The sequence below is a fragment of the Homo sapiens genome, chromosome 6, assembly GCF_000001405.40.
Source record: "Homo sapiens chromosome 6, GRCh38.p14 Primary Assembly".
In the NCBI taxonomy this organism is placed as follows: Eukaryota; Metazoa; Chordata; class Mammalia; order Primates; family Hominidae; genus Homo; species Homo sapiens.
In genome coordinates, this window is record NC_000006.12 from 81978779 (window position 1) to 81992402 (window position 13624).

The 13624-nt window shown below is 34.4% G+C and overlaps 1 long non-coding RNA gene across 1 annotated transcript in view, besides 1 other annotated feature; it reads right to left on the reverse strand.

Annotated features, from left to right (window-relative positions):
- Positions 1 to 13624, reverse strand: part of LINC02542 (long intergenic non-protein coding RNA 2542) — a 257985-nt gene that overhangs the window by 134998 nt on the left and 109363 nt on the right. The gene's annotated exons all lie outside the window — the stretch shown is intronic.
- Positions 9921 to 10121: a silencer, noted in NCBI's record as "peak5921 fragment used in MPRA reporter construct". NCBI's record gives its function as "represses an SCP1 promoter by STARR-seq MPRAs in K562 erythroleukemia cells {active_cell/tissue: K562}" and the evidence as "EXISTENCE:reporter gene assay evidence [ECO:0000049][PMID:32103011]".

The following is a 13624-nucleotide window of genomic DNA, read 5'->3' on the forward strand; positions in this document are numbered from 1 at the left end:
TACATGATACAAATATATATAAAGGTAAGCTCAAAAAAGTTATACTCTCAACCTATCAATCCTGTCCCACTTGCACCCAACCCTAATATATAATCATTTTTATTCAATTCTGGGACATTCTTCTTGAATTTCTTTTTTTGCAAAAACTACATACTCTTTTTCACTTATATTTCTTCACAATGCTACCATACCATATACACTTCTTATACTTTGCTCTTTCTACTGACAATATATCTTGGCTCAAGTCAATTTTATGTTATATTTACTGGCATATCAGTAATATTTACTGTTTCTTTCTCTTGGTATTTAGGAAGGTTTTGATCTTCTTCCAGTGGTTACCTCTTTCTAATATTGTTTGTAATGTCTTCAGTCCACTTTTGCCTTTCTGAGGCTTCTACTATTTGGTTTGTCAACTCTAATTGATATACTTGGACTGCACATATTACCTATAAAGCAATAAGTTTATTCTTTCCACCTTCTCCTCACTTTTCTCTGTGTTTCTGGGGAGTTGTCTTATTTCTACTTTGTCAGATTGTATAATGCTTATACACTCTTTCTCCACTATTTGTTTTAATGTTAGGACTACACTGAAATATATTCCATGTATACTATCAGTTCATTTGCCAGAGTTTTTCTAGTCTTCTGTTGGTTGGATAAAGCTTAACTTCTTGTTCTATTTGTGAATATACCACTCCTTCAGTTCTCACACTTTATCTTCAAAACTGTTTTTATATAGCATTGGTGGTTTAACACTAACTTGTCTAGATATAAAAGCTTTCACTCACACTTCCTGTTCTTGCTTTTAAAAACTCTTGTTTCAAAGTTGTTTTGCTTTGTATCTTGCTGTCAAGAACTCTGATTTAAACTTTATTTCTTTCTCTTGTAAATTATATTGTCTTTTTGTCTGGAACACCTGAGATTATTTTTTAATCATTAAAGTCTAAAAGTTCATTAGCACATATTTCTGAGTTGATCATTCTAAGTCACTTTTAGTCCCACATAGGTGGATTCAGGTTTTTAAATTTATAATAAAACAATAATTTTAAATAACATTTCTGTTATTCCACTGCTTTGTTTTTTTCTGATTTAAAGACTCCAATTGTATGTATGTGAGATCTTCTTTGCCTATCTTCTATAACTATCACTTGCTGATTGTTTCTTTTTCTTGTTATTTTCACTCTCTTGGCTATTTTAATTCTCTTCCTCAATTTCCCTTGTGATATTTGTCATTGATTCCTTTCTCTCTTGGTTACCCTGTAGCTTAGTTTTCATTCCTAAAATGATTTTATCCTTTTTTTTCCTATTTCTTTCTGGATTTAGCTTAATTCTCATATCCTTTCGCCCCTTTCTTCTGAATATTTGAGTTTCTATTGGGATGGGCTTCTTAACATATGAAAATAATATTATTTAATTCAGTTTTATTACTCTTCACGGATTTTTCTTAGAATTTTCATCAGTAGGAACATTTTGATTCTTATTTTCCATCTTCTTTATATAGTAACCTTTATGGTTGTTGTTTACAGTAAATATCTTGTATTTTCTGGATTAACAATAAGGAATAATTCTGTGTTGACAAATGTGAGACATTTGGTGGCTTACTAGTTTTTTAGTTCAAGAGCACCCTCTTCTGTTGATATAATAAAATGTAATTTTATTAAATGGCACCATTTTTTAAGAGAAGAATTGGTTTGACTTTATTTTATTTTATTTTATTTATTTATTTTTTTGAGATGGAGTTTTGCTCTTGTTGCCTAGGTTGGAGTGCAATGGCACAATCTTGGCTCACTGCAACCTCCACCTCCTGGGTTCAAGCGATTCTCCTGTCTCAGCCTCCTGAGTAGCTGGGATTACAGGCATGTGCCACCACGCCTGGCTAATTTTTGTATTTTTAGTATAGATGGGGTTTCTCCATATTGGCCAAGCTGGTCTCAAACTCCCAACCTCAGGTGATCCGCCTGCCTCAGCCTCCCAAACTGCTGGGATTACAGGTATGAGCCACCACGCCTGGTCAGTTTGACTTTTTATTAAGTAATCTTCTTTTGTTTATTTGGATCCTATTTTCCAATGATTTTTTTCTCTTATTTCCTTCACCACCAAGTCCTTTCAATTCCCCACAGATGGGACTCTTCCAAGATTTCCATCTTAGATCCCCTGCATTTTGAGCCACTTCCTTTTGAATTCCTGCAGCCAGCATTCTGACATACGAGATGATTTTTTTAATTCATTGTTTTATCACCGCTAAACACCCCGCCTTCCTTTTACCATGAAGTCTCCACTTGATTTCCATTTTGATGTGTGCTCCAGAGTTGTCTTTGCTGGTTAGTTTATTTCCCCTCTTTCATGTAAATGAAATTTTTGGTATCTTTTATCTCCTAGTTATGTGGTGGGCATGGGTCCATAGAGTTTTACTTGCTCTCCTTATCTGTATAGTTTTGGGAAGATGTTTGGTTTTTGGTTTAGGTAGCTATCATTTTTCTTAAGTTGTAATGTTTCACAGGGGTCTTTTCTAGAACTCCCTTTTCACTTTTCACAAATGCTGAGTGACCTCAACCACTTCTATTCCTTAAATTAAAGCTTATAGACTGATGACTAACAAACTTTATTTTGTTGCTGGGCTCCACAGCTTTTGCTAATAACAAACAAGGTATCTCAATAGGACATAGCACAGTTGCCCCCACTTCACATAAACAAAACTAAATTATGTTTTATTCTTCACCCTCTCTCATACCTGCTCCTCCTCCTGTGTCCCTCATCTTAGTAAATGGTGTCATATCACCCTCCCCAACATACTTTGTTATGGTTGCCTAAGACAGAAAGCTTTCTATCACTCTGGCCCCAGTCACTCTCTAAGTACTAAGTATTCTACCTCCAAAATATCTCAAAACTGTCTTCCACCCTTCTCCAAATTCAACAGTTTATGGCAGCATCACCTCTTGACTGGATTACTACAACAGCCTCCAGTTGAAATTCTTGCTTTCACTTTTGCCTCTTTCATGCCACAATCCACATAATTTTGATAAACATTTCATTTAATTATGTCATTCCCCTTCCAAATGTTACACTGCCTTCTTGATACAGTCTAACTCTGTTAGAATGATCTAAGTGACTATACATAACCTGATGACTGCTTACCTCTTTAGACTTCTCTTTCATCAATCTCTGCCCTCACCTCTTCCCTTCCACTATGAAACACACAGAAACAGAAACAGAACAGTCTCCAAAAATGGCCACAACAATATTTTTAGTTCCATATGCTGTTCCAGAAGCATGCCATTCCCCCTCAAGAAGTGAAATCTAGTTTCCTTCCCCCTGAACATGATCCAGCCTTAGTGACTCACCTCTAATGAATGAAATGCCATTATAGTGATGCTGTATAGCTTACAAATAAAATCAGTACACCTTCGGCCTGGTGCACCTCCTCTCTCTCTCTCTCTCTCTTTGCACATATATGTTATGCCTGGTTCATGGTAGGTATTCCATAAATTATATTTTCTATCATTCTCATGTTTCAGATTAAGAAACTGAGACAAGTTAGAAAGTTCAATAATTTTCCTAAGGTCACATGGCTAGCAAGTGGCAACGCTGAAATTCCATCTCAAGTCTGTTTGTCTGCTGAGCCCATGTACCAGTATGGCTTGATTCTCCACTCATCCTTGTCTTATTTTATTCTTTGGCGTTTATCCATTATATTCCTTGTTCTAGCAAATCATACTTTCAGATACTTTCAGAAAGCTTAATTGAAATTTAAGGATGTAATTGAGCAAAAGAAAATCACTTAATGAGAGATTAAAAATGAAATGTTATGTTCTTATAGAATGCCTTTTGGGAAAGCAGTAAACAATATTTTCATGTTATAATATTTAAACACGGATGTGATCTAACCAAAATTCTATTATTATGTTGAGGGGGGAGATAGGGCTAAGAGGAGTGAGAGGTGTTTCAGAAGGATAAGTCTTCATTTACTATGGAGGGAAGTCAACAGATAATGTCTAAAATTGATAAGCCAAAACAGCTATATAGCCATATTATGTAGAAAAAAAAAACAAGCATAGTTGAAATGCCTGTGGATAACAGGACTTGGAGGCTAGAAAAGAGGTGGAGTAAAAGACTAATATTTCCATTACAAACTTTTAAGAAATATTTGAGTTCATAAAAATGAATGTGTATTTGATTAAAAATAATTAAAATAGATTATTTACCCATCTGGAATTTATATTGTGAGTGGGGTGAGATAGAGATCCAAACATCACAGTTTTCCAACTGCCTGTCCAGTTATTATCTAGGCCAATTTTAATTACAGTACTTTCTTTCTTCTCGCATATTTGTAATTTGAAGGAACACCAATAAATATGAAAATGTGGTGTCATACACACACTCCGTTCTTTCTTTTTTTAAGGTCAATGTCATGCTCTTAGATAATTTATGCCTGAATTTCTTCAAGTCACACATGAAATGCTCAGAGAGGTCACAAACATCAGGTGAAATATGAGAACTGGATCTTTAGAGGACTTAGGTGATAAACATGCTGAGAACATTTGCTTCACATGAATGTTGCCTGTGCCCCCAGCTGCCCTCTACTTAATGTGAATTAAAAGTCTGACACACAAATGGCCAATGAGTACATGCAAAAGTATTCTATTAGATTGGTGCAAAAGTAATTTTGTTGGTAATGGAACAAATAATAGAAACAAAAAAGTAATTTTGTTTCTATTAGTTTGATGCAAAAGTACTTTTAATGGCAAAAACCTCAATTACTTTTGCACCAACCTAATACATCATTAGTCACTGGGGGAAAATGCAAATTAAACCCACATTGAGATACTAGTATACATCCACCAAAATGAATAAAATTTTAAAATACCTATAGAGCTAAATGTTGCTAAGGATTTGGAGAAACTGCAATTCTCATAAACCGATAGTGAGAAATTTTCCACCACACTGGAAAATTTGGGAGAAGTTTTTAATGAAGTTAAATGAACATCTGCTCATATAGCCAGTAATTCCACTTTTACGTATTAAGCAAAAATAAATGAAAATATACATTGGCAAAAAGATTTGAAGCATAATGTTTAAGTCACTTCATTCACAATAACCAAAAACTGGAAATAGCCCAGGTGTCTGTTAAAATAACAAGTAAACTGTGACACATTCATACAATAAACTACTCAGCAATAAAAAGAAAAAACTACTCATAAAATCAACACAGATAAATCTCAAAAACAGTTTGATAATTGAAATAGCTGTTATGTGCTAAATTGTGTTGCCAAAAGTTCATATGTTGAAGTCCTAACCCCCAGCACTTCAGAATATGTCCATGTTTGGTGGCGGGGCCTTTAGAGGTTATTAGGAAAAATAAGGTCTCATGGATAGGCCCTAATCCAATATGCTGGTGACATTAGAAGAAGAGATTAGGACATGGACAAAATATAAACAGAGGGGTGACCATCTCTGAGGTCACAGTGAGAAGGCTGCCATCTGCAAACCAAGAAGAGAGGCCTCAGAAGACACCAAACCTGCTGACACTTTGATCTCAAACTTCCAGCCTTCAGAAAAATCAGAAAATAAATTTCTGTTGTTTAAATCACTCAATCTATGGCATTTTGTTATGGCAGCCCTAGAAAACTAATACAGAAGCCTTACACAAAAGAGTACATACTGAATTATTCCAATTATATGAAGTTCTATAACAGGCAAACTATTCTAAGGTGAAAAAAATCAGAAAAGTAGTTACCTCTGAGGGGTGGGTAGGGGATTATTTGGGAAGGGGCATTCCAGGACATTTTGGAGTGGTGGTAAAAAAAAAAAGTTTGGGTTACACAAATATATACATTGATCAAAACTAATGAATGTCTACTTAAGATTTGTGCATTTCATTGTACATAAATGCTATATCAAAAGAGAAAAACTAGAAAAGTTATTGGACCCCACTTCTGACATTAGATGTTGTATGGTTCCCATTTCTTCTCTTTTCACTACAATCGCAAACCCAAGCACCAGCTGTGCTATTGATATTTTGCATTTTGCATTTGCATATCTGCTAAACTCAGCAAGGTGAAATTTGGTGGCTGAAATGCCTGGGCTGTGTTCATTAGCCAAGAGAGGTGAGTTGAAGAATGAAGCTGAATTGAGAGGTGACATTAACTTTTTATTCCCAGAAAAAAAAAAAACTCAATTGTAACACCAGCCAAAAGCATTTGATCTTCAGTTGAAATAAATTTAGTAGATCAAAAATCTCAGCATATAAATCTATAATATTCAGGGCCCTGAGTTGAACATTATTAAACTGAGAAGGGCTAATTCTCAGAATTATTTGAGGAGCAAGGAAATAGAAATTTGCAAGAGACCAGGTGATAGCAGCAGGACCTGTTCATGTAGTCTGGCTTCCTACAGTTACAACATGAGAAAGCCTCTGACTCTGGTTCAATGTTCAGACACATTTTGGGAAAAGGGGAAGAAAAACTCAAAGGTTCTATCTATGTCCTCCATCCTATAAGTTATCTAGCTTGTATTCTAGATGCTAATATTCTACTTTTTGAGAAATTCTACCCTTTGTGCCTTTCAAGGGATTCAGCATTAATTTCTCAAATTGCCTTAGGACATCTGCTACATAATCTCCTTGGCATTTAGATTCTTTTTGGCCCATGTATCAAGTTTCATTTGTTTCTGAGTGAGTTCAATCTTTTTTTACTTCACTAAGATTTCTTTTTTTTTAATATACTTTAAGTTTTAGGGTGCATGTGCAGTACGTCACCAAGATTTCTTATTTCACCTGAAGGAAATGGGTGGGAAGCCATGGCTCAGGATGACCCATGCAGCTATGGCTCCAAAAGTCTGATCGTAGAAGAGGAAAACAAACAGCAGTTCTGAATCTATGAGATTTTGGATGAGGCATTAAATATAGTATTTTTAGGTTTATTATGAGAGTCCTTCTCACAATACTCAGCTTTTTGAATAAACCTAAAAAAAGTACTAAGCTTTCAAAATATTTGAAGAAAAAATTGTCTAGCTTTCAACTTGACAGCACTTCTGAAGAAATCTCTTACTGCCTGAACTCCTCACTTTTCTCCTCTTTATTCTTTTGTAAATAAAAAGATGTTGCTTCGAATGGGCTAGAAGCTCAGCATGGTCCATAGAATGAAAGGTGCTAGAAATCGGTGAGATTATCCCAATCTCCATCTGGAAGAGTCCAACATTGACTGTGAAAACCAACACTTAGCTATAATTCAAAGACTTTATGAGGTCTCCTAAAAATGCAAATCCTATTCTTCTAGGTCCTATCTTTCTATATAGGATATTACAGAGAGGTGTATTCTGAATCTCTTTTACATCCTTCTAAGACTAATATTACATTTTTAAAAATCCTTAAATAAATGAATAAAATTCTTTAAAACCTTACAAAACTGACCAATACGTAGGATCTGAGTCAGGAAGCTGATGTGAATGATATTATGATTGCTCCCTGAAGTTTCTGATCACTATAATATTCTGTTCATTTTTACTTTGCTCACACCCTGGAGTGGAAATTTGTCTCCATTTGTGAACTTCAATGTGACAACATTTTAAGGACAACATGTTCTTCCATATATTTTTTTCAGTCAAGATTCTTTCTGGCTGGTCTTTACATTTCTGGTTGGTCATACTTCACAGAGACTTTTTTTTTCTTCAACTTTTATTTTAAGTCTGGGATACACGTGCAGGATGTGCAAGTTTGTTACATAGGTAAAAGTGTGCTATAGTGGTTTGCTGAACAGATCATCCCATCACCTACGTGTTAAGCCCAGCATCTATCAGCTGTTCTTCCTGATGCTCTCCCTCCCGCAACCCTACCTCTGATGGGCCCCAGTGTGTATTTTCCCCACTTCCATATGTTAATGTGTTCTCATCATTCAGCTCCCACTTATAAGTGAGAACATGCAGTGTTTGGTTTTCTGTTCCTGTGTCAGTTTACTGAGGAGCATGGCTTCTAAGTCTATCCATGTCCTTGCAAAGGGCATGATCTTGTTCCTTTTTATGGCTGCATAGTATTCCATGGTATATATGCACCACATTTTCTTTACCCAGTCTATCATTGATGGGCATTTAGGTTGATTCCATACCCTCGCTATTGTGAATAACGCTGCAATGAACATACATGTGCATATATCTTTATAATAGAATGGCTTATATTCTTCTGGGGATATACCCAGTAAAGAGACTTTCATCAAACACCACTCTCCCCAAGGATAGATCATAATCAATGCCTCAGCTAACTTCTTTCTAAATCCTCCTATTCCTTAGATTCTACTTAGTTCCCTTAATAAATATGAAATCTAAAGCCCCTTAACTCCCTTAATAAAATAACGGTACTATTATGCTTTATCTCAACCCATCCCAACTGAGCTTAGCAAGTGTCAGGAATAGTGACACAATCAATAACCCAACAACTGTGGAACTTTATAATCCAAATCCCCCACGAAAATAAATGGATATTATTTGACCCAAATTGTGTTTTAATCAAATCTTTCAGCGACTAAATATTGTTTCTCAGAATACAGCAATATGGAGAGTGATGTGATTTGGCTGTGCCTCCACCCAAATCTCATCTTGAATTCCCATGTGTTGTGGGAGGGACCCGATGGAGGGTAGTTGAATCATGGGGCAGGTCTTTCCTGTGCTGTTCTTGTGGTGGTGAATGAGTCTCACAGGATTCAATGATGTATAAGGGGGAGTTTTCCTGCACAAGATCTCTTATCTTGTCTGTCGCCATGTGAGACATGCCTTTCACCTTCCACCATGATTGTGAAACCTCCCCAGCTTCTGAAAGTCCATTAAATGTCTTTCTTTTGTAAATTGCCCAGTCTCAGGTATGTCTTTATCAGCAGCGTGAAAATGAACTAATACAGAAAGTAAATGAAAATATTTAAATCTCTGAAGTATTCATGAAAACAATTTTGCCATTTCCAAACGGTCAGGCCCCTTTAAAATCCAAGCTAACAGAAAAAATAATAATTTAATACACATCAAAGTTCAGCCAACATCACAAAGGGAGTCTTCAAACTCTTGAATTGATATAAGAAGATCATATTTCTTTGGTACTTTTCCAGTTTCCAGAAGACAGTAGTATGATGAGTCTTAATTTCTATATATTGATTGACAAGATACACTTTTGTGTGTGAAATCAGTGTAATAAATAACCGAACATTATATCCTCCAAATATTCATTAGGCAATAGCACAATGCTGGTAGGTAATATACTTTATCTTGGACTGTTCATCCAAGTTTAAATCTAAATTTATTAGATTATTCTGCACATATTCTTTCCAGGTCTTTCTCTGCAAAGTGGATAAAAAATGGAGCACAGTTTCTTAAGCTAATTCATCTTCATAACTTCACCATATTAAATGCAATCTCTGTGATAAATTGAAATGTAATTTCACATACATTTTTAAGGGGTTAATATTATTAAATGTGTAAACTCAGTTCACCGCAATATCTTCACCTGGAAATACTAAAATGTGAAATGATTTCCTAAAACTTAATATGAACTTCATTGACACTGCTGGAAATGTGTTGCCACATACTTATTAGAGCAAGCAATATTATAGGCCTAAGCCGACTAGGGTGGAATGACAATTTCTACTACTATGACTTGAGATTAATAATGATGAAAATAATTGACAACTTTTTATTCAAAATCATCTGTGGGAAAAACAAATTCTTTTAAATATATATATAAGATAGAAAATAGGCTGAAACCAATCTTGACCATATCTCTTCTGGGAGAATAAAGTTGGCTCTCCTATGTCTTGATTTGACAATACGTGTAGACAAAAACACAGTCTCCTTTTTTCCCTTGAGCAAACTCCCCCAAAGCTATCAAATTCATTTTAACTTAAATCACTCAATGACTCATAAAGTTCATATCTGTTTCAAAAAGATAGCTCTGAAAAGAAGGCTCAATAACAAGTGACAACAATCAGTAAAAATATTTTGGCAAATTGTTGCCCATGGTAAGACTTTTTTAAAGAAATGATAAAAACATACATATCCATTGAAAACTAGACAATCTTTGGGATATCTCACCTGAGTGTCAGTGTAACAAACATGCCAAGCACCAAGAAAGTCCAAACAGAAAACTTTCCACATACTCAGTTGTTATTTGCTGGATTATAAAACTATATGGCTTATGTATAAATAAATATATAACAGTAGAAATCCCCTCATTATTTCAAGTATTCCAAAGACTACTAGGAGAATTATGATAATCTGGTGATCTTAAGCACTAAAAAAAAATGTTGGGTAATTCGAGTAAACAAAAGTATTAAGGAGATCGCTAGCATTTTGATTGCTTCACAGTATAGAATGAGTACTTCATATTTTGTAGATTCCAAAAAACCTCAGAGTTGAGACAGAAAAATCTACGACTGTAATATGTGATCAATTTTATAAAAATAAAAATATCCCCAAGAAAAGATATTTTGTTATAGATTTATTTAGCATCTGACCAATATGTGTAAGTATTCCCAACCCAGTTTAAGCAACTAATCCTAAAAGAGATTGTTAAGTATAACTTCCTGCCTGACAAAAAAAAAAAAAGCAAACTCCTTTATCTTCTCAAATTTAAGAACAGTCAATCTGTGAAATTTACTCTAAAATCCTATAACTTTAATTTCATCACCTAACATACATTAAAACATATAAAGTAGAAAACATATATAAGATAAAATCTAAGATTGATAGTTAACCTATTGCTTTCGTATATGAGAAATTTTTACTAAGTACAAAGACAATGGAGCTCATTTCAGAAACAAGCGTTTGTACACCCATGTTTTACTTCATTAAACAGAATGAACCTGCCAACCAGGAAGTAGGCAAAAAAAGGACACCAAAACACACCATTACCTATCCCCCAACTCAGAAGAGCGCATTCTCCATCAACCTGAACAATGAGGAGGGCTTGCTTATCAATATTCTGCCAAATTTCTGAACCAACCAAAATAAAATTCCCATCCATCTTCATTCAATATCTACAAAACTACTGAAAAATTATGATGTGCATCAGAGAACTATACTGCAAAACAGAAGTTTCCATCTCATGCCTACAGAACCTCATTAGATAACTGAATTTGGCTTAGGCATTTTGCATATCATGTTGTCCTATAGCTAGAGATCTGAAAATCTACAGCTCCGAAGTGGACAGTAAGTAGCACACACAGTCTGTTTTGTCCAAAAAGAGAGAGAGAGAGATCTTGAAGCCCAAATAGAGGCAATGTCATCCTCCCAATTCCTAAAAGAATAAATAAGCTTTGGAAACTGGTATGATAAAATCCAGAACAAAATTTTAGAAAATGTCTTGGATTCCTCAATAAAATAAAAGAAGACATGGTCTATATGATAAAGTAACATAAAGTAATAAGGAGTGAACAAACATATTTAAACATAACAGAGTGAGATTTAAAAAATAACAGGTTTGAGCTTGAAAACTATGATGCAGTAAATAAAAAGTAGAGGTAGAAAAAAAAACAGTATTCACAGTTTAAATCCAGTAATTGATGAGGAAAACAGAGTTGAGAAGCTATGTCAGAGTGCAGAGGATAAGAGTAGATATTAACAGATTGAGTCACTATAAAAGGAAAAAAATATGTCCATCATAAAAAATCTAGACATTCACAAGAAATATACAAGAATAGGAAGAAAAAAGAAGTTTGAAACAAAGCAGTAACCAGAAGTACAATGAAAAAGTCTTCCCAAACTAAGACAAAATATTGTGTGAATATGCATTCATTTATTACATACAAGTACAAATAATTACTTGGGTACCATTATACAAAATACACTGAGAATAAATTTTTTAAAGGGATATCTTTACCCTGCGAGTAATTAGGAAACACAGACAGATAATCACATGACTAAACATAAAATTACAACCAGGACAAGAGAGTAGGTGGTGATATGAGAGCATGTGACGGGGATGTGAGCTAATCAGGAGGTCAGAAAAGGTTTCCCTGAGGAAATTATGTTTCATATAAGGTTTGAGAGACAGTGGAAATTAACCAGGGAATAGGTGAGTCCCAGGTAGAGAGAATAGCATATGCAAAGACCTATAGTCAAAGTGAGCATAGCATGGTTGAGGAACGGTAGGTTGAGGTATGGCTGAGGAACAGAAGGCCCATGAAACAAGAAGGCTAGAGTCAAGAGGAACATGGATGAGATGACAACTGGGGAGACATGCAAGGGCTAGATTATCCAGCGCACTGTAGGTCAACGACTTCAACCATTTTTTTTTTAACACCATGACCTAAAGTCAGAAATACTTTCTATATCATAGCCCAGTACACAAACCCGTATGTACATATACAGAAATCAATTTGCTAGATCATGAGAGCATTTAAAAAAATGAAAGAACAGAATAAAATGGAACATACCAGAGTGCTTTTCTTATTGTAAAAGTAGGTAGCAGTTCATGAAATCTTTTGTTTAGGTTTATTTATATTTTACATGTATATTCCATCTGTATAATGATTTATTTAATGCTTTCATGATCTCACAAATTGATTTTATGACACATCAATAGATCCCCACCTGCAGTTTAAAAAATTCTATAGTAAATCTATGTTAGAGATTTCACTCTTTATCTAAAAGCCATCAAATTTATTTAAGCAGATATATGATGTGAACAGATTTGAATTTGGAGACAAAACAATCTTTATGACTACAATGTGTAGATTTGTAAAGAAGCAAGTCTAAGGCTCTTATAGTGAGACTCCTGGTAAGAGATATCAGTGGTTTGACCTTGGATGGGAACAGGAGATTAAGAAAGTGAACATCAATTCCAGAGTTGATGGAGGTAAAGAATCAACAGGACATTCTGATAAGATAAATATGGACACAATTTTCAAAGATAACTCTTAGATTGAGAGGGGCTTAGTATAAATTATTAAAAAGAAACCGAAGAGTGACAAAATATTGGACTTACAAGAATAAACAAACCATCTAACAAGCAGTCCTCCAGAAAACACGTTACTAACAGAGAAATCAAAACTGGGCTGGCTTCAGACTCTTCTTTTGCAATGTGAAATGCCAAGAGGTAACGAAAAAAGCAACCACAGAATTTTGAAGGAAAAAAGGTGGTGAACTAAAATGTTATGCTAAGCCAACTTGTCATTCACGCATGAAGGAAATAGAAAGTTATTATAAAGTGCAGGCATATTCACAAAAACATATCCACAATCTTGAAAAAAATTACTTGACATTGTTCTACCAAGGGATAAATCCAAATTTAAAATCTAAGAATGAGAAGGTCATGATTTAAAAAAAGATTAATAATTGATACTGAAACTGAAACCAATTAATAATTGAGTTTGTGATTATTAAGATAAAACTTAATACAAAGTAGAAAAAACTGAAAAAACATACGTAATATTAAAAATTTAAAATTATAAGAATCAGAATAAAACACAAATTATATTAAAAGGGAAGATGATTAAAGCATGCTAAATATCTCACATAAAACAGGGAAATAAAGATTCAAAAGATCCAACTGCACTAGATTTTGATTATTAAAAAGAACCTTTGAAGAATATTTTTGAATAAATGTAAGTGTAGCTACAAGCTGAATGTGAAACACAATGTAAATCTTCAAAAT